The following is a 22,948-nucleotide window of genomic DNA, read 5'->3' as shown; positions in this document are numbered from 1 at the left end:
AAGACCAGGAGGAGAATCACTCCAATCTCAAGAAGGGCGCAGTTGCTCATTTAAGGGCATTAATTTGAATAATTAGGCCCACCAAGAATGATCTTTCTTTTGCTTAATCAAAAATCAGCTGATCTCATTGAACTAAAAATCAACCTGAATTTCATCTGCAAAATCTATTTATCTTTGCCCTATATATCACAGGAGTAACATCGTATCATATTCACAGTTTTCACCATACTCCAGAGTGTCATTATACGGGGCATGGGCATATGCCACAAGAAGCTGAATCTTGAGGCTCACTTTACAATTCTGCCTGCCGTGGTGTCCAAGCTATTTTAATAACTGATTATTCCTCCAATTACCAATATTGTCATTTGTTTAGAAAATGTTTCCAATTTTCTTTTATTACATCATTCTAATTCTCTTACTTTTATCTATTCCATTGCTTCATTTCTTGATTTTTTCACTGTGCCAAGACCCTTAAAATTGATAAACTATTACACAGAACTGCTGGCTGCGGCTTAGCCTTCCCCTATAACCCACTGACCACTTCTGTACACCGTACCTTGTAGAGGCAGCATGAAAAAAAGAAAGTAAATACATTTCCTACAGACAGATCTGAGTTTGAATCTTGATTATCTTACTAATTATAAGGTCTTGAGTAAGTGATTTTATATTTTGAGTTGCAGTCTCCATGTCTGTTAAGAGAAATCAGTGTTTACTTTTGTTATAACTAGAAGGAGAAACTATATAATGCATGCATAACACCCAGTAGAATAATTGGCTCATAGAAACTAATCGATAAATGGAAACCCATTCTCTGAGTACAAATATCCTTTAGCACTGGTTCTAGGTCTCACACTGCTCAGGTTTTGTATAAATAATAAATTCTATTTATCAATAACATCTATGTTCTAGACCATGTATTAAGTATATTCTTCACAATTATCTCATTGAATGATGTATTACTTTCCTCTGGTTGCTATATTAAGTTACCACAAACTTGGCTTAAAACACGAAGTTATTGTTTCATAATTCTGGAAGCCAGGAGTCCAATACCAAGGTGTCAGTAGGGCCATACTCCCTCTGAAGGCTTGAAGAGAGAATCCATTCCTGACCTCTTTTATGTTATGGTGGCTCCAGGTGTTGCCTCCCTTGTGGCCACATCACGTCAATCTCTGCCTCCATGGTCACATTATTTGCTCCTCTTCTGCATGACTCTCTTCTGTGTGTCTCTTGTAGGGATACTCATATTAGATTTAAGGCCCACCCAGTTAATCCAGGATAATTTTCTTATCTTAAAATCCTTAAATTAACTTCACATGCAAATACCCCTTTTTCCTAAATAAGATATCATTCACAGGTTCTAGGGATTAAAACAAGAGTATTCTCTTTAACGGACATCATTTAGCCCACTACCAGTAACAATCTAAATTTTAAGTACTACTATTATTTCAATTTTATTGAAGAATTAGCCATGTCTCAGAGATGTTTAAGTACTTTTCCCAAAGTCATAGAGCCAATTAGTGGTATAAGGGTTGGGAGGGGGGCTAGGTATACATTTCTGACTTCAACCTTGTGCCCTGAAACCCCCACTGTGCAGTATGCTCTGGCACAAGGAAGCAAGTCCTAGAACTCTTGGGAAATCATATCTTGGAGGACACATCCATCAGTAAAAAAAGAACATTTTACTCTTTTTCTCCTTACATAAGCTTAGCTTGACTTTCTGAAACTGTCAACATTATTTCTTCTAGTGAAAATTAACCTGAGTGTGGGAGTGAGAGTTGAATTGCTTTAAATTTGAAGATGTCAAAGTGAGGGTCGAGTAGATGCCTATCTTGGTTCTTTAATTAGAAGATCTTAGAGTTCGGTGCTAAGGATTAAAAAGCAGGGTGAATCACTTTACCTTTGTGCTGTGATCTTTGATGCTTTGTTGCTGACCCTTCACTACCACAAATTACAAAGGTCAGAAACTATTTGGAAAAGAAAGTTTGATGTTATGAAGAAGCACGTTGCCTCCCATGCTTCCCCACCATTCCACTTTTGTCTCATTTTTCCAGCTAACCTAGATTCCTTTCATCTACATACTGTATTTTATTGGCAATTATGATAATTGGTTAATATGTCTCAATTTGTACCTATATTTTTTCTAATCAGAATAAATTTCCTTCCTTATAAAACTCTTACCAGATCATCTAATTAGAGTCTTCCCCCAACCTCAGCAACTAGAATTCACTTTTATGTATTTGCACTGCATATGTATTTTTGTGATGACCATAGAATAAATGTACAAGTCACACACTTTAGTAGAAAAGTCTTGGGCTGGGATAACAATTGTTGTCTATGTTCTAGTTTCAGTTCTGCATTAATTAATTGCATGCCCTCATCTGAAGGCCAAGGTGACTTTTTATGCTTTTGCTTTATTTGCAAAACTGAGATAATTACTGTTTCCTGACTCAAGGCATTATTATAAGTATAAAAGAACTTACAAAGTAGATGTCAAAATGCTCAGAAAACAAAAAAGTTGTATGATTTTAACCAAAAAAAGATAAAAGAATACAAAACAATTGAAATAAATAAATTAAAAATCTACAGAATTATTTGGATGTTTTTCTAAGTCAGGAGATTCTCTACAGTTATCATAGTCTATTTACATGCCTTGGCATTCTCTGCTAATGACATTGGGATAATCAAGATTTCAGAAGATTTTTCATGTTGTTAAGTATAAATTTGACTCTACTGAAGATAATTCCTCCTATAATGGCAATTCTGCAAATTCTAAGAAATGCCTTTGGAAACTGATTCTAGCCTCCATTTCCTCTTAGCCCTAATTTGCAGGATTGTTGCCACATTTACTCTCTGTGAAAGCTCATCAGCCAACTCCAGGGAGCTTTAATTCTCAGGCAGTAACATCAATAGATAAGTGGTTGAATAGTAACCAAGTATGCAGCCCCCTTCCAAGAGAAGGTGAAGATATTTGTAGTGTGAATGAAGGCAATTCAAAAGTATTTAAACTCAAATGATTAGTGGAACTGTCCAGGGACCAAAGGGACTTAAGTGGATGTGATAAAGATCCACCTGCTGTTTTTTAGAGAGAGTTCACATTTAAAACACAAAATAATTAAGTGTTTTAATTTTGATCCCCCTAGTGCTTCTCCTTTTAAGAACACAGCAGGGTGGGTGAACATAATTGGCATCATTTGGAAGGTTGAGTGCTAAGGTTGTAGCAAGTTCTCTGTTTGTAGATGAAAAATGACATTTTGGTTTAACATCTTGCTATACTTATCCATACTTTGCTCCTATTCTAATTTTTAAGCAGAAAGATTGTGCCTACCTCAACTTCAAAAAGCAGCCTCAAATCTTCAAAAGCTAGGGTAAACTACGTCTTTCATATGAGAGACTTAACAGTATGTTCACCTGGGAAGAAACCCAGGCAAAAAATGTTTGTGTGTGTGTGTCTGTGTCTGTGTGTGTTCTCTGATATCACTGTAACTCAGACAAGATGTTACACTACCTTTATAGTTTTATTTCACTCTAAAACTCACTCATGTATTATTCAAGGCCTTCTATGGTCCCTTTGATTTCCTAGTTAACTAAATCTTTGAATTAGGCTCACATACCAGGAATAATTGAATAACAAAATAGACCCTTTTTCAGTTGATACAGTAATAATAGAGAAATATGAAAGAAGAAGCTCATCTTAAAAACAGAGTCAGACTTCTTTACCAATGCACTGAAATTTCATTCCAAAATAGTGCCTGTCATGTTGTAATTTGCTTTCTATAAATAGTTGAAGGTTAAATAAATGAACAAGTTTTCTGCATTATTTATTCCTGTCATGTAACACAGCATGGCAGCTTCTGACCCTGCCCTCAGCTATATAGCTTGAAGATAAGATGATAGACATGGAATGGGTTAGATTCAGTGTTTCTGTGAGGATATTTCTATTTGATTTACCAATGTCAAACAAATGTTTTCTTTGTGTTGCAGTTAGAGGTGTGTTGAATTAAGAACCTAAAGACCTTGATTCTATATGGTATTCGAATACTTGACCTATTTATCTCATATACAAAATGGAGATATAAGCCTATAAATCGTTGACATTTTGGCACGGGTGTTTGTTAATGAAAAACAGTATGCAGCCAATACAACTATTATATTTTTTTCTAAACAATAAGATAGGGCTATGTTATTTAAAACAATAGCTAAATATTAATTCACCACATTCATTAATATTTCAACCAGGGACTTTTTTTTTGAAATTTATCATTTTTTTAAAAAATTGATGTATAAATGTATATGTATTTATTATGTACAATATGATGTTTTGAAGTATATATACATTATGGAATGGTGAAATCTAATTAACAAATTAATTACCTCAAATAGTTATCAGTTCTGTGGTGAGAACATTTAGCATTCACTTTCTTAGCATTTTAAAAAATACAATATATCATCATTAACACTGGTTACCATGCTATACAGTAGACCTTGAACTTATTCCTCATATCTAACTATATATATGTATCTTTGACTAACATTCCCCAACTCCTTATCCCCCACTAACCACTCCAACCTCTGGTAAACCATTCTACCACCTTTTTACTCTCTATTTCTATGAGATTGATGTTTTTAGATTCCAAAGCCAGGAACTATTCTTCAATCAGTTCACCATTCCACATAATTATTCTTATATTTTTATTTATTTATCTAATATAATGCATTGTTGTAACCCAACTATAATTGATTAGTAAATAAATAAATACAACAAGATTTTTCTTGTTTCAAGGGAAACAATTTTTAGAGATGTTTTAAAATTGGGACATCAAAAAAATCACAGCACTGTAACATTGTAAAAGGGGAGATAAATTGGGAATAAAATTAAAATACACAATTTTAGAAATAATGAAACTAGGAATGCAAAATATTTGAAGCTTGTTGAAAGTAGTAATCTTCCAAATCAAAATGGCTTAAGAAAAAATAAAGCATGGCGTGGACATTATTGCATCACAAAATGAATGTCCAGAAATATTTTGAACTTTAGTTATAGCATATCTGGATCAAGTGCTTAAATAATATTGACAGAAAATGTTTTTCTCTCCATCTCTTGGCCCTGCTGCCATCTATGTTGGCTTCATTCTCTGAAGGGAAATTTCCTAGTGCCAAAATGGCCATTGAAAGACCCAGGCTTACTTTCAAAATCTAGCAACCTAAAGCAGAGTTTGCCTTCTATCAATAATTAAAGAAAAAGCCTCAAGACTGAGGCCCATTCTCTTGGACTGATCAAGCTAAGTTCACATGTATACTTCTGAACCAATCACTATGGACAGGGGAATATGGGAATCTCACTAGCAGCTATGGATGTTGAGACCAATCCAGGAGGTAGAAAGTGGGGTGAGGATTATTGAATCCTAGGTGCAAAAAATCAAAATAATGAGCAGTTACATAAAGAAGGGATAACCAATGCTGCAAAGGCAAAAATCAATAAATGTCCACTACAGAAAGGGGCACAGCATTAACATAACTTTTTAGAGAATGGAATAAACTGTTTCAGAGAAACACAAGAAATATAAGAAGACATCAAATCCTCATTAAAATTAATCTTACAGGATATTATACTGCAGAGTGAGTACTGTCAGTTACTTGCAAGATGCTCAAGAAGATGTCAGAAGAGTAAGGTTGATAATAAGAAAACACAGATGCAAACCTGTTTTTGGCATACCTCAGGAAGAAAATTTTAAAATTCAGGCACAAGGAAGCTTCAGGTCACAGTTAAATTCATTGTTATAGTACTATTTGGTAAGTAAGTATTTAGTTCATCCAGCACCATGTAGCACTAAGGAAACTGGAAGTATTTTAATGACTGTAACCAGCATTATAGTGACATATTTGAAAGCGTGAGTTCTGGAGCTGAATTGTCTGATTTGAATCCTACATTTTCTCTTTGATATCTATGTAAACTTGAGAGAGGTATATATTCTCTGTGTCCCTTTGTTTACTCATTTAAAATATATATAGCCAGGCGCGATGGCTCATGCCTGTAATCCCAGCATTTTGGGAGGCCGAGGCAGGTGGATCACCTGAGGTCAGGAGTTCAAGACCAGACTGGTCAAGATAGTGAAACTTCACCTCTACTAAGAATACAAAAATTAGCCGGGCATTGGTGACACGAACCTGTAATCCCAGCTACTTGGGGGGCTGAAGCAGGAGAATCGCTTGAACCCAGGAGGCGGAGGTTGCAGTGAGCCAAGATCGCGCCGCTGAACTCCAGCCTGGGTGACAGGGCGAGACTCCATCTCAAAAAAAAAAAAAAAAAAAAAAAAAAAAAAAAAAAAAACATAAATAATGTATATAGTATTAGAAACGAATTTATAGGGCTTTCTCAAGAGCTGTGAATAGTCTGAAAGTTTAAGGTTGTCTCAAGCTAACAAATTATCCTGTTATAGTTTCATGAATGCTGATAGAAGACAAAAGCCTCCTAGGTCAGAGACAAAGTATTTAATTTTTCATGGCACATGCCATTTCTTCTTTCCCTCAAAGTCCCATCAGAGCAACGTGGAGAGGTTCAGATGGATGATACACATATGGTGAATTTGTGTTACAGCTGAGGATCCCTGAGGGTAGGAAAGTCCAGTCTTTTCTAATAAGCTGCAAGCAAACCTACCTGAATATTTTTTCCTGAAAGGAGACATAATCTTTATTTTATGGGGCAAAAAGCAAACTAGTTTTTGCTCGGGAAGAAGACAAAATATCTGTCTTCCAAGGCTGTTCCCTACACAAACATTTTTAAAAAGATAATCCAAAATAAAAAGGCAGCTATTACCTCTAATTCCAATAACAAAAGAAATATAAGAGATCTATAAAGGATTTTTTCTTATGTCTCTCAGCAAGTTGTAAGTGAATAAACACATTTTTATTATTAAATATTTTAAACTATTATTATAGTTACATATTTTATTGATCTATTTAGCTGTCATGTATATGATTTATTATAATCATATCTGACTGGCCCAATTAGTGTGAATAAGACAAGTAAAATTGTATAAGGGCACAGGTGTTCAGAAATTGAATTAGGTCCCAGAATAAGTTCCTAGTAAGTAATCATTTTATTTCTTTGTTCTTTTCTTAATAGAGCTTACCTCAGGTTTAGAAGTTTCCCACTTTCAATTTATTTCCCCCATGCTGACTGCTATAGTTGGAATGTTCGTCCCTTCTAAATTCACGATAAAACCTAATCCTAAATGCAGCAGTATTGAAAGATGGAGTCTTTAGGAAGTGATTGGAGTAATTAAGCCCTCACGAATGAATTAATCTATTCATGGATTAATGGACAAATGGGTTAACATGAGAGTGGGACTGGTGGCTTTATAATAATAATAAGAGAGACCTGAGCTGGCATGTTAGTAGTCTCATATCCCTCGCCTTGTGATGCCCTGCACTGCTTCGGGACTTTGAAGACAGCAACCACCAACAGAAAGGCTCTCACCGGATTGACCCCTTGACCTTGAGCCTTCCAGCTTCCAGAAGTGTAAGAATCAAATCATTTTTTAAATAAATTACTCAATTTTACATATTCCATTAAAAGCAACAGAACATAAACTAAGGCACTGACTTAATGTACTTTCATATAAGAACTTGTAATGGACAGAATAATTTAACTTCCTCTATATATGTAAACAATTTTTGTGCATTGTAAAAGAATCGTGATGATAACAATAATAATCCAGAAGAGTCCTCCATAAGAGTCCACATTATCTCTGCATAATACCTTTTCTGCTGATTTCATGAAGAATTGCTTTGTAGTTAAATTAGAAATATTGAAGAAAATTAAGAAATACTAATAGGAAAAGGTTAGATATATGAGAAAATATGAAGGTTTAAAATTGCAGAAGAAATGCTAGCATATAAAAAAATAGTCAGTGATAAGATAAAGGATTTTATTAAGTTAGAATAAAACAATTTACATCAGCCAGCCATAAAATATGACTCATTAAGTCTTTTTTACAGTTGTAGAAATAATTTTTAAAAACCCAGTATGTGAAACCAACATAGAAAATACATGGAATGAAGACCATACATCATGGGGTAATGGTGGCTAAGAATGCAACTAAACTCAAACATCCATTAATCGGCCCACCAAGGGATAACCCTGTAGCTGCCAACAAAGTTGAATTTTCTGTCAGAAGACCAGATGCTGTTCTGTTTAAATTAAAAGAAAATAAAGTCCCTGAATTAGTCTGTAGCCTGTGGCATCTATTTTCAAAAGTGGAATAAAACAATATCTAGAATAAGAATCAATAAACCTTTTGGTAAAAGCAAAAGGTTAGCAAAAAATAAAAACGTAGTAAGGGTATGCTTGGGTACATGTAGGGTTCTGTATATAAAAATCTATTGCAAAATAACAATACCTCTTAATAGTACAGTTCTTTATCCTTTTTCAATAGAATTTCCAATGTAATATATTAAAATATGTTAGTTTTGTTATGGCTATTATTCTGCCATCACTTTACAGGTAAAAAAGTTGATGTCAGAAAAAATAAGTAACCAATGACACTTAATAAAACTAATTTTAATCTAAGAACATAAATTTCCTAGAACCAAGAAAGCATCAAACTGGAAGTTAATAGATGCCAATTTATTTTGGAAGAAACTGAATCTCCGAACAGACCAATAATGAGTTCTAAAATTGAGGCAATAATAAATAGCCTTCCAACCAAAATAAAATCCAGGACCGAATGGACTCACAACTTAATTCTATTAGATGTACAAAGAAGAGCTGGTAGCATTTATGCTGAAACCTTTCCAAAAAATTGAAAAGGAGGGAGTCCTCCCTAACTCATTCTATGAGACCAGCATCATCCTGATACCAAAACCTGGCAGAGATACAACAAAATAAAGAAAACTTCAGGCCAATATCCTTGATGAATGTCAATGCAAAAATCCTCAACAAAATCCTGGCAAACTGAATCCAGCAGTACATGAAAAAGCTTATCCAACATGGTCAGGTAGGCTTCATCCCCAGGATGCAAGGTTGGTACAGCATACGCAAATCAAAAAATGTGATTCATCACATAATTAGAACTAAAGACAAAAACCACATGATTATCTCAATAGATACAGGAAAGGCTTTTGATAAAATTCAACATCCATTCATGTTAAAAACTCTCAATAAACTAAATGTTGAAGGAACATACCTCAAAATAATAAGAGCCATGTATGACAAACCTGTAGCCAACATCACTCTGAATGGGCAAAAGCTGGAAGCATTCCCCTTGAAAATCAGCTACTTTTTTTTCATTTTACAGGTAAAAAACTTGATGTCATAAAAAATAAGTAACCAGTAATACCTAATAAAACTAATTTGAATCTAAGAACATAAATGTCTTAGAACCAAGAAAGCGTCAAACTGGAAGTTAATAGATGCCAATTTATTTTGGAAAAAATTGAATCTCTGAACAGACAAATAATGAGTTCTAAAAATAAGGCAGCAAGGATGCCCTCTCTCACTACTCCTATTCAGCATAGTATTGGAAGTTCTGGCCAGGGCAATCAGGCAAGACAAAGAAATAAAGGTATTCACATAGGAAGAGAGGTAGTCAAACTATCTCTGTTTGCAGATGACATGATCCTATATTTAGAAAAATCCATAGTCTCAGCCTTAAAGTTTCTTAAGCTAATCAACAACTTCAACAAAATCTCAGGATACAAAATAATTGTGAAAAAATCACCAGCATTCCTATACACCAACAACAATCAAGCCAAGAGACAAATAAGGAACAAATCCCATTCACAATTGCCACAAAAAGAATAAAATACCTAGAAATAGAGCTAACTATGGAGGTGAAAGCTCTGCAAGGAGATCTGCAAACCACTGCTCAAAGAAATCAGAGATGACACTGACAAATGGAAAATCATTCCATGCTCAGGGATAGGAAGAATCAATATTGTTAAAATGGCCATAGTGCCTGAAGAAATTTATAGATTCAATGCTCTTAAACTACCATTGACATTCTTCACAGAACTAGAAAAACTATTTAAAATTCACATGGAACCAAAAAAAGAGCCCAAATAGCCAACACAATCTTAACCAAAGAGAATAAAACTGGAAGTATCATGCTACCTGACTTCAAACTATGCTACAGGGCTACAGTAACCAAAACAGCATGGTATGGGTACAAACACAGACACACAGACAAATGGAACAGAATAGAGAATGCAGAAATGAGACTATACACATAAAAACTATTTGATCTTTGACAAACCTGAAAAAAACAAGCAATGGGGAAAAGATTCACTATTCAACAAATGGTGCTGGGATAACTGACTAGCCATATGCAGATGATTGAAACTGGAGCTCTTTCTTACAAAATCCCTACAAAATTTAACTAGGGATAGTTTAAAGACTTAAATGTAAAATCCAAAACTATAAAAACCTTGGAAGACAACCTAGGCTGTACCATTCAGAACATAGACATGGGCAAAAATTTAATGAGAAAGAAGCCAACAGCAATTGCAACCAAAGCAAACAGCAATTGCAACCAAAGCAAAAATTGACAAATGGGATCTAATTAAACTAAAGAACTTCTGCACAGCAAAAGAAACTATCAACAGAGTAAACAGACAACCTACAGAATGGGAGAAAATGTTTGCAAACTATGCATCTGACAAAGGTCTAATATCCAGCATCTATAAGGAAATTAAACAAATTTACAAGAAAAAAAACCACCCTATAAAAAAGTTGGCAAAGGAAATGAGCAGACACTTTTCAAAAGAAGGCATACATACAGCCAGCAGTCATATGAAAAAAAGCTCAACATCACTGATCATTAGAGAAATGAAAACCAAAACCACAAGATACCATCAAACACGAGTCAGAATGGTTATTATTAAAAAGTCAAAAAATAACACAAGCTGGTGAGGTTGTGGAGAAAAAAGAATGGTTATACACTGTTGGTGGGAGTGTAAATTAATTTGTCTGTTGTGGAAGACAATGTGGCGATTCCTCAAAGACCTAAAGACAGAAATACCATTTGACCCAGCAATCTCATCACTGGATATATACCCAAAGAAATATACATCATTCTGTTATAAAGACACTAGCATGTGTAAATTCATTGCAGCACCATTCACAATAGCAAAGACATGGAATCAACTTAAATGCCCATCAACAATAGAATGGATAAAGAAAATGTGGTACATATACACCTGGAATATTATGCAGCCATAAAAGGATGAGTTCATGTCCTTTGCAGGGATATGGATGGAGCTGGAGGTCATTATCCTTAGAAAACTAACACAGGAACAGAAAAACAAATACTTCACGGTCTCACTTATAAGTGGGAGCTAAATGAGAAGAACACATGGACACATAGAAGGAAGCAACACACACTGGTGCCTTTTAGAGGGCGGAGGGCAGGAGGAGGGAGAGGATCAAGAAAAATAACTAATGGGGATTAGGCTTAATATGGGGGAGGCATGAAATAATGTATACAACAAACCCCCATGACACAAGTTTACCTATGTAACAAACCTGCACTTGTACCTCTGAACTTAAAATAAAAGCTTAAAAAAAGAGACATATGCCCTCGAAGTTTTCTTCAACTTTATTCAGAATTTAATACAAAGGCAATGTTTAATCAGAAGACGACTCTTGGCTCCTTTATCTTATCCAAGACTGTATTACTGAAGTGGCAAAAAGCCTAATTGCTGACCAGTTTTACTTCACGAATATAAGGTAATCTTTATTTTAAAGAGCAATGTGTTTAGATTTGGTATTAATTCCATGATAACATTTTACCATGGCTACATAGAGTAAAATAACAATAAGAAAATATTTGGTCACACTCAAGTATATCACTTTCCCAAATATATTTATATGGAAATTTTTAAAATAATTTATAATTTCTTTTTATTCTTGTATAACTGAAAAAAAACAACACAATTTAATAAACTTAAATCATGACTATATTTTCTTAGGGAATGTGATGAAGGAAAAGTAAAAATTGAATTGGAGAGCATTTTAAATATCATAGGAGTTGCAGGCTTCCTTAGCTCACCTTTTAAAACATGTCAGTAATTATAGTTATTGAATCTCCCCAATTCATCGCCTCTGTCCAAAAAAAATCTATTAGGGGAACAGATGAATTTTAGAAAGCAGTTTCACGGCTGCAAACAGAAGCCAAAAATCACAAAACCGAATGAGCTGAAGCAAATTTAGAAAATGGCAGTGGTTGCAGGCATGAGGTCTTTTAGCAATATATGCCTATTAGTGGTGCACCAATCTGCATGCAAGCCCTGGCTCTGGATGAGATGCCAGGGAGGCCTAATTGGGCCACACTTGTCAAATCAGTTATTGAGGATTAGTAGCACGATATCACATATAGGACAACTCTGCAAATAAATGTCCTTTTTTTCTTTAGGTTAAGATATGTTCCCTAACATAATAATAGTTAATAATAGCTAATGTCTTAATATATCCTTAATAAAATTTTAGTTGTATTAAATACAAGGATACAATAATATGATTTTGTTTTTAATTAGAGTGTTCTAAAGATATTCTAACCAAAGATTAGAGGCATAGTAATATACTCATGCAGTACAGTTGAAATCTGTCATTAATCAGGTTTTTTTATGTTTGTCTCCCCTACTTGAATCTTAACTCCTTCGAGGATAAAATTCATCTTTTAGCTCCTACACACTCGAAGAATGCCTGGTAGTGTTTGTTGAAACAAATGGAATTGAATTGAAATGCAAAAACAGCTACTTACTTCTTACAGATTCTGCCCAAACTATAAACCATTTAGAAATATATTAAGAATTAACGGTTTATGAATTTCTGTTTTCTGGCTTGAGTTCTTTGGATGGATTTCAACAAAATCCTCCCTAACTTGTATATAAACTCTTAAAATAAGACCCATGCTTTACGTATAGATAATAATCGGTGTTTTTTGGTTTGTTTTCTGAATTATTTTAAATGTTTCTAATGATAACTAATTTTGACTCTAGAATGTTAGACATTTTTTAGAATATCATTTTCTTACACAAAATGAATAAATACACTCAAAAATGGAGTTTGGGGAATTATTTTTCACAATACATTATAATTTTTCTTTATCTACATTTATTTTTCCAGTATCCTAAATAAAAGTCAAAAAGCATTTATATTTATATGTATTCAAAATAGAGTGGTTGCCATTAGCCAAAAGCAGCTAGTGCATAACCAAAAAAATATTTAAAAGCCTACTTTTAGTTTGCAAATCTTATTTTTATTACCTCTTAATTACTCTCTGATTTCCTATATGCCACTCAAAATCCATTAGAGAAATAATGGCATGAAAGCAAGAGTGTTAGAATTCTCTTAGAAACTAGAGCTTCCAGATAGAAAAATGGTGTGCAGAAGGGAAGAATCAATTCCACTTGATTCTTCAAATGTTTCATAGTTTTCAAAGTTTATTTTCCTCAGAATTGTTGTAGAGTTTAATGGACGGAAGTGAGACAGAAGACATTTTGTCACCGTCTTACTCATTTGTTAAACATTCTTTAAAACCTTTTTTGTGTGAAAGACCAAAATGGGTGTAGGGCATTCGTTAGCCAGGAAACAAACAAACAAACAAACAAAATAAACAAACAAAACCATGGTGTCTGCCTTCAGTATATGCATTTTAGATGGGGAGGGGTTAACTATATAATTAATGAATACAGAATTGCAATTTTGGCTAGTGCTGTGAAGAAATGCCTAGAACAACAGGAGGACTTGAGATATTTAGCTTAAATGACAAATATGAGTAACTTAGGCAAAAAGAACAAGGGTTTCCATTTTGCTTTTTAAAAACATCATCATCACAACACATTCACAAATATTTTCACTAATATGCCATTATGCAGAAGAACATTAATTCATACCCCAGGGACCTGAGGACACAGTCAAAAGCTTTTCACCAAAAGAAAGATCTCAGTGTTTTATTTACTTTCAGACTGGAATCATCTCACCTTTCAGTTTGCCCTGATTGATCTTAGTTTTATTCTTGTTGTTATGGCTTGTTTTAATGGTTTACCAGTTTACTCTCAGCAGTGTGGTAGTTAGGACCATAAATTATACTGTCATTACTTCTTTACATTCATATCTTATCCTAAATATTCATGAAAACATTTCATTTTGCACCAAAGTAAGCCTGAGTTATAGCACATACAGAAAGGTAATAAGGAAGACATTGTTCAAGATGGAATTATTAGTCTTACAGTGGTAGCAATGTGATTGAAAGCAATTTCAATAGATGATTTAAGGACATAATTTTAAACTGATTTTTATAAATACAGATAATACAGCCTCATATTTGGTGACTCCAAGATATAGAAGATGAACACAAACAATTGACCACAATTACAGGAATTTTAGAAATAGAAACAGATAGGATGAGAGAATTACACAGCAACCAAGGACAAGGCAATACTTATTGCTGTTATTAATTTTAAAAATACCATTGTTTTACATTTTTATTAATTTTCCACTTCATTTCACAATCATTAATTTATTCTCTTATTTATTCAGCAAATACATTCTGAGCACCCAATATACACATTAAGCATAATTCTGCTCAATGTGGCCAGGTATGGTGGCTCATGCCTGTAATCCCAGCACTTTGGGAAGCCGAGGTGGGTGGATCACTTGAGGTCAGGAGTTCAAGACCAGCCTGCCAACCTGGTGAAGCCCCATCTCTACTAAAAATACAAAAATTAGCCAAGCATGGTGGCAGACGCCTGTAATCCCAGCTATTATGGAGGCTGAGGCAGGAGAATCACTTGAACCTGGGAGGCAGACGTTGCAATGAGCCGAGATCACACCACTGCACTCCAGCCTGGGCAACAAGAGGGAAACTTGGTTTCAAAAGAATAAAAAATAAAAAAATAAAAAATTCTGCTCAATGGTTTGGGAATATGATGGGGAATAACACAGAAAAAAAAAGAAAAAAGATCTGTCTTCATGGAGCTTAGAAGCTAGTATTTACTCAGTTTTATATTTTAGAATAAGTTATAAAAATAGCTAAAATAAAGTAGTACAGTATGTATGTGAGGGTAAACTCACTGTAAGAACTTGTATAAAGTCAAGGTTAAGGAAAAAGGAGTCAGACAGGCAGTAAATAGTCTTTCTACGATTAGGTCTTAGAGTAGTCTCTGGGCTTTGTAGACAAGAAGGATATAAGGAGACTCCATCAGTAATCAGATTTGGCCCCTAAGGAAAAAAAAAGTCCTCAGAAGGCCCAAGAACTTTGTAGCAACAACTTCTAAATATACATACACACATGAAAGAACTTTAAAAAAAATGATAATGGAAAGTATTCAGTGGTTCCAAAGCCCAGGTCCACAGAGTTACTGCACACAAAAGTAAAGCAGAAAACTTGAAAAAAAAAAAAACCCACACAAATTCTCAGACATTTTAAAAATAGTTCTCAGGTGGTTCTGAAATACAGTTTGCTATGGGAAGCCCTGATACTGGGCAGGATTTTTCAATAAATTGGAGCAGACCTTATATGGTAAAATATGTTTGAAAACAGAAGTTAATTATTAACTGACTAGAAAAATTAAAATATAAGAACTATAGAATATATAAAATAAAATTTAAAAAAATCAATTTATTCAATAAAGCTATCCTAAAGCTTTATACCAACACATGACAAGAAAAGCCCTAAAAAGGACAAATTAACTATTACTTAAGAAATAATAGTTATAGAAAAACATTGCAGAACTGGCTGGGGGAGGTTGTTGGAATCATCCCAGTGTCCTACTTGACCTAACTGGAGCTCACCCAGACAGTTCCCAGAGACTTGGGAGCATTTGTTCATCTTTGGAGTGTGCAGATTCGTTGAATAACAATTATGCTTTTGTGTGGGGCTTAAAACACAAATACAGAAATTTTAGAAAATATCTGACTACATGTAGTCAGGAAGTACTACTCCCACTGAGAGAGACCAGAATCTCAAGTAAACCAACATATTTTAGACAAATCTTTAGAGATAAAAAAACAAAAAACAATAGAGAGGCAACACAGACACTGAGGCTCTGTGGGGTTGCTGAATGCCTAGGCTAACTGCAAGCCCTGAATGGCTCCTAGAGAAAGGGGTGACTGAAGGAATGGTGGGATAGCCTACTCTCACTGTAGACCTCTGAGATCCTAGCTATAAAAGATCCCAAGACCCTCATGGACATTTGAACTGGCGTGGGGCATCTGCCGGGAGAGTAAGCAGAGACAGAGCTCCAGCCTGCATGGACCCCAGGGGATTTTGCATGCAGGGTAGCTGCAGTAGAATAAAGCCAAGAGTACCCATCCCTCAAGCCTCCCCATATTTCTCCAAGTAGCTCTAACCTTTGCTAACTGCTGGGCCAAGAGAAAGCATGGCCAACTTTTCTGCAGGACTGGGGCACATCTGTTCTGCGGTCCTTCCTGTTCACCAGCTCCTCCTAAGGCCCCTAACTTGCTGCTCCTGCAGTTCTATGTGCACACTCCAGCCTGCGTAGCCCAGGCTGAGTTCTGTGCCATTAATCCATCATGATACTTTCCTGGAAGCCTGGAAGCTCTTTGGATCCCCTAGCACAGTTGGCTACTGACCCCAAAATGCTGGAGGAAGAAGCCATGGGCCAGTCCCAACATCACAGGGTTGCAGTGTGTAGCCCAGGAGTACCAAGCCAAAATCTATGGCTGGTGCTCAAGCATTCAGAACACTGAGAGGGGTGAGATGTATGGGTTTGTGGGCCAGCATGGGAGCAGGGTGTGCCTCCCTCCACACGGCCAGTCTGGGAAGGGTGTGGCCCATCTCCCAGCCTCAGCTTCTGCCCAAGGGAGCCCTTCAGTCTGGAACATGTAACAAAAAAAATATGGGCATAGTGCCAGTAATTGGAGGGTCCTCCTCCAGTTACTTGATTAGGGGATCATCTCTCTCCCCACTGCACCACAGAGGACAGTTGTGAATGTGCTGAAATGCAAAAGCCACATGGTTGAGTAAGAGCCTATATAACAGACATTACTCTTAAGCACCTTGTAGCAGACTGCTGCCCAAAATACAAAACCAAAATGATTATGCCAATAAGCAGTGCCTGTGAAAGCCAGGTAAATAATCCAGCCACATATAAAGATCCTGTACAGAGAGCGCCTTGGCCCTCTGAAAGCAATCAGAAATGAAGCCAATTCACTATACTCAACTTACACCGAAGTTAAAGGAACACCAGCCCATTCAGTTGAGAGCAGATCAGTGCAAGACCTCTGACAATTCCAAAAGCAAGAGTATCCCCTTACCTGCAAACAAGCCCATTAGTTTCCCAGCAATGGTTCTTAACCAGTCTGAAATGACTGAAATGACAGACAAAAAATTAAGAATGTAGACGGTAGGGAAACTCATTGGGATTCAGGAGAAAGTTGAAAGCCACTCCATGGAATTCATGGAATCCAGTAGAACGCTTCAAGAGCTAAAAGTCAAAATAGTAATTTTAAGAAAGAATCAAACTGAAATTCTGGAATTTTATCACCAGTAGTAATAAAACATGCAAATTGAAACAATAGTATTGGTTTTGCCTATAAAACATTTTATGGACAAGTAAAGTGAAGTAAGTGAAATATATCTTTCATATGTCACCATTAGGATTAAAAATCAGTATATCATTGTGGAAGTAGGTTTGGTGTCATATATCAAATGTCTGAAATATTTTCATCATTTTTTACCTAATGTTTCCACTTTAATTAATTTGTCCTAATGAAATAATCTGAATCCACAATGCATAAACACAATGAGGCTATTGTAATTGATGACAGTATAAAAAACAAAAATAATCAAAGTTCACAAAAAATAAAATTAAAACATTTGTGGCACATTCGTAGACTGGAATTCTCTAACTTTTATAAACCTTGTTTGCAGGATTATATAATGTCTTAGAAACATAGACTTTTTCATTAAGTGAAAATAAAAATAATTCAAAAGTTACATGAAATTATTATTTGGAGAAAAAGTTCCAAATTTTATTTTCAGTATGGCCATAATTTTGAGGAGAAAATAAACCTATGCTGTCACACCTATTGATTCAATACTTGAAGTAACTGTAAGAGAATTCTAATAGAAGTTTTCTCTGAGAATGGGTATATGAGTAATTTTACATTTTAAAATACTTTTCTCTATTTCTCATATGTTATTATTCTGAACATGTAGTAATTTTATAATATGAATGATTCTGAAAAGGTTTAATAAAATATTCTGTCCTTGAAACAATTAATCTTATAAGAACACCATGTTTATATTATTCAGTTATGCAGACGTAAGTGACATAGAAGAACTCAGAGGATAGGTTTCAAAGTTATTCGCAGAATTTTACGTCATCTATATATGTGATTGTTATCACTGGTTTGTCATTAGATAAAAAGAGGCACCAATGATTTGCCTGTCACACATCTCTATATTTCTTTTCCAGGAACCATGACAGAAAGAGCACTGACAACCAGGATTAGAAATTCACCAGCAAATTTATACCATCTTGTAAATGAGATGTACTTAGTAAATCAATAACCTTCCCCTTTTCCCTACAGCTTAGCCTGCTTTAAAAAAAAAAAGAAAGAAAGAAAAGAAAAAAATTGCCATAAGCACAGGGGTAAACACTGTGTACAAGCATCTTATGGAAACATAATATATATCCTCGTAGAATTCAGATCACAATAAACTTTTAGTATTGCTTTCTCAATTGTGGGTAGGATGTGCTTTATTAAATGGCCACATGAGGCATAACATCATTTGAGAGCAAGATTTCACAATGTTTTCCACAACTAGTCATTTACAAGCCTACTGAAGGAGGAAGGAAATTGGGTAATTGTTTGCATTCTTAAAAGCCATCAACAACAACAACAAAAAAATTCCTCAAGAAGAGGAAACTGCACTTGTGTAGCTGACAATGAACCCAATTCTGTTTTTCATTGTGCAGTTGGTCTTCCTTAAATGGAGAGAAAAGAAATCTTCTCAATGCTTTCTTGAGTTGTCTACAAGCCAGACTTATGTTTAATTCTATAATAGAAAAACACACAGAACTAAGCCTATAATGATAAATCTGCATTTTCCATGTAGTTGCATGTAGTCAACAGTGTGTGTGAAAGCACATCCCAATAGCACATCAGAAATCTATCAATACATTATAAAACTCATGTGTATGCAGAGAAAAGCCTATTGTTTTCCAAAAAATATTGTAAACCCTGTGGAGGATACAGAAGAAACCTAAAGCATGATATCTGCCTTCAGCAAGATTACAATTCACCTGTAATGGTACAAATTTATTGAGTGTTTTCTCTCTTCCTGAAACTGAGCTAAGCACTTTGCAAAAAATTGCCTTACTTAAGCCTTAATAATCCTTGAAATACATACTATTATTCCTATTTTACTATAATAAAAACCAATTCCAAGAGGTTATTTATCTTCCCTACAAAGATATATTAGTAAGTGATAGAGCTGGGATTTGAAACTCTGTTAGATTCCAAAACTTATTATTTTAACTATCATATCCGAGACTTCACCATGAGTTATCTGGATAATGCTGGTCTTCACAAATAGTATAATTTGGCTAAAATAGAAGACATGTGTAAAGAACACATATTGTATTAAATGCTATTTGAAACTATTCTCTTTTCTCTAGTTAAAAACATGGGCTAACTGAATCTCAAATAATAAAAATTGTAATGTATATTAAATTTAGCACATTCCATATATTTGCACGTAAAGTTTTTATTATATGTTCTGACTTGGCATCTAACTACATTTAGACTGCTAAGGTTTTTATTTTTGCTGTAAATCAAGGCATGAATCAAGATTGTTTAAACATCCACCTCTCCCGTCATGCATTATTGCCAACACCAAGGTCAGCCATTGCAGTACCTGTTGAGAGTCTCCAATTTTACACACAAAACGATGGTGAGTATACTTTATTTTATTTTTATTTTTATTTATTTTTCTGTATGCGTTTTTTTTACGTTAAGTTCTAGGGTACATGTGCACAATGCGCAGGTTTGTTACATACGTATACATGTCCCATGTTGGTTTGCTGCACCCATTAATTTGTCATTTACATTAGGTATATCTCCTAATGCTATCCCTCCCATAGCACCCCACCCCACGACAGGCCCCAGTGTGTGATGTTACCTGCCCTGTGTCCAAGTGTTCAATTCCTTCCTATGAGTGAGAACATGCGGTGTTTGGCTTTCTGTCCTTGTGATAGTTTGCTCAGAATGATGGTTTCCAGCTTCTTACATGTCTCTGCAAAGGACATGAACTCATCCTTTTTTATGGCTGCATAGTATTCCATGGTGTATATGTGCCACATTTTCTTAATCCAGTCTATCATTGATGGACATTTGGGTTGGTTCCAAGTCTTTGCTACTGTGAATAGTTCCACAATAAACATACATGTGCATGTGTCTTTATAGCAGCATGATTTGTAATCCTTTGTGTATATACCCAGTAATGGGATCTCTGGGTCAAATGGTATTTCTAGTTCTAGATCCCTGAGGAATCGCCACACTGTCTTCCACAATGGTTGAACTAATTTACAGTCCCACCAACAGTGTAAAAGTGTTCCTATTTCTCCACATCCTCTCCAGCATCTGTTGTTTCCTAACTTTTTAATGATCGCCATTCTAACTGGGGTGAGATAGTATCTCATTGTGGTTTTGATTTGCATTTCTCTGATGACCAGTGATGATGAACATTTTTTCATGTGTCTGTTGGCTGCATAAATGTCTTCTTTTGAAAAGTGTCTGTTCATATCCTTTGCCCACTTTTCGATGGGGTTGTTTGATTTTCTCTTGAAAATTTGTTTAACTTGTTTGTAGATTCTGGATATTAGCCCTTTGTCAGATGGGTAGATTGCAAAATTTTTCTCCCATTCTGTAGGTTGCCTGCTCACTCTGATGGTAGTTTCTTTTGCTGTGCAGAAGCTCTTTAGATTAATTAGATCCCATTTGTCAATTTTGGCTTCTGTTGCCATTGCTTTTGATGTTTTCATCATGAAGTCTTTGTCCATGCCTATGTCCTGAATGGTATTGCCTAGGTTTTCTTCTAGGGTTTTTATGGTTTTAGGTCTAACATTTAAGTCTTTAATCCATCTTGAATTAATTTTTGTATAAGGTGTAAGGAAGGGATCCAGTTTCAGCTCTCTACATATGGCTAGCCAGTTTTCCCAGCACCATTTATTAAATAGGGATCCTTTCCCCATTTCCTGTTTTTGTCAGGTTTGTCAAAGATCAGATGGTTGTAGATGTGTGGTGTTATTTCTGAGGGCTCTGTTCTGTTCCATTGGTCTATATCTCTGTTTTGGTACCAGTACCATGCTATTTTGGTTACTGTAGCCTTGTAGTATAGGTTGAAGTCAGGTAGCGTGATGCCTCCAGCTTTGGTCTTTTTGCTTAGGATTGTCTTGGCAATGCAGGCTCTTTTTTGGTTCCATATGAACTTTAAAGTAGTTTTTTCCAACTCTGTGAAGAAAGTCATTGGCCCTTGATGGGGATGGCATTGACTCCATAAATAACCTTGGGCAGTATGGCCATTTTCAGGATGTTCATTCTTCCTATCCATGAGCATGGACTATTCTTCCATTTGTTTGTGTCCTCTTTTATTTTGTTGAGCAGTGGTTTGAAGTTCTCATTGAAGAGGTCCTTCACATCCCTTGTAAGTTGGATTCCTAGGTATTTTATTCTCTTTGTAGCAATTGTGAATGGGAGTTCACTCATGATTTGGCTCTCTGTTTGTCTGTTATTGGTGTATAGAAATGCTTGTGATTTTTGCACATTGATTTTGTATCCTGAGACTTTGCTGAAGTTGCTTATCAGCTTAAGGAGATTATGGGCTGAGACAATGGGGTTTTCTAAATATACAATCATGTCATCTGCAAACAGGGACAATTTGACTTCCTCTTTTCCTAATTGAATACGCTTTATTTCTTTTTCTTGCCTGATTGCCCTGGCCAGAACTTCCAACACTATGTTGAATAGGAGTGGTGAGAGAGGGCATCCCTGTCTTGTGCCAGTTTTTAAAGGGAATGCTTCCATTTTTTGCCCATTCAGTATGTTATTGGCTGTGGGTTTGTTATAAATAGCCCTTATTATTTTGAGATACGTTTCATCAATACCTAGTTTATTGAGAGTTTTTAGCATGAAGCGGTGTTGAATTTTGTCGAAAGCCTTTTCTGCATCTATTAAGATAATCATGTGGTTTTTGTTGCTGGTTGTTTATGTGATGGATTACATTTATTGATTTGCATATGTTGAACCAGGCTTGCATCCCAGGGATGAAGCCAACTTGATCTTAGTGGATAAGCTTTTTGATGTGCTGCTGGATTTGATTTGCCAGTGTTTTATTGGGGATTTTTACATTGATGTTCATCAGGGATATTGCTCTAAAATTCTTTTTTTGTTGTGTCTCTGCCAGGCTTTGGTATCAGGATGACACCAGCCTCATAAAATGAGTTAGGAGGTATTCCCTCTTTTTCTATTGATTGAATGGTACCAGCTCCTCTTTGCACCTCTGGTAGAATTCGGCTGTGAATCCATCTGTTCCTGGACTTTTTTTTGGTTGGTAGGCTATTAATTACTGCTTCAATTTCAGAGCCTGTTATTTGTCTATTCAGAGATTCCACTTATTCCTGGTTTAGTCTTGGGAGGGTGTATTGTCCAGGAATTCATCCATTTCTTCTAGATTTTCTAGTTTATTTGTATAGAGGTGTTTATAGTATTCTCTGATGGTAGTTTGCATTTCTGTGGGATCAGTGGTGATATCCCCTTTATCGTTTTTTATTGCGTCTATTTTATTCTTCTCTCTTTTCTTCTTTGTTAGTCTTTCTAGCAGTCTATCAATTTTGTTGATCTTTTCAAAAAACCAGTTCCTGGCTTCATTGATTTTTTGAAGGGTTTTTTGTGTCTCTATCTCCTTCTGTTCTGCCCTGA

The 22,948-nt window shown here is 35.3% G+C and overlaps 1 annotated feature.

The window, feature by feature from the left end:
• Positions 2,652-3,295: an enhancer, noted in NCBI's record as "OCT4-NANOG hESC enhancer chr5:100058179-100058822 (GRCh37/hg19 assembly coordinates)". NCBI's record gives its function as "activates a minimal SCP1, AML or CMV promoter by ChIP-STARR-seq in primed H9 embryonic stem cells {active_cell/tissue: H9 hESC(primed)}" and the evidence as "EXISTENCE:reporter gene assay evidence [ECO:0000049][PMID:30033119]".

Source organism: Homo sapiens, chromosome 5 (genome assembly GCF_000001405.40).
Source record: "Homo sapiens chromosome 5, GRCh38.p14 Primary Assembly".
In the NCBI taxonomy this organism is placed as follows: domain Eukaryota; kingdom Metazoa; phylum Chordata; class Mammalia; order Primates; family Hominidae; genus Homo; species Homo sapiens.
Note: the sequence above shows the minus strand (reverse complement) of the source record. Positions and strands in the feature narration are given on the sequence as shown.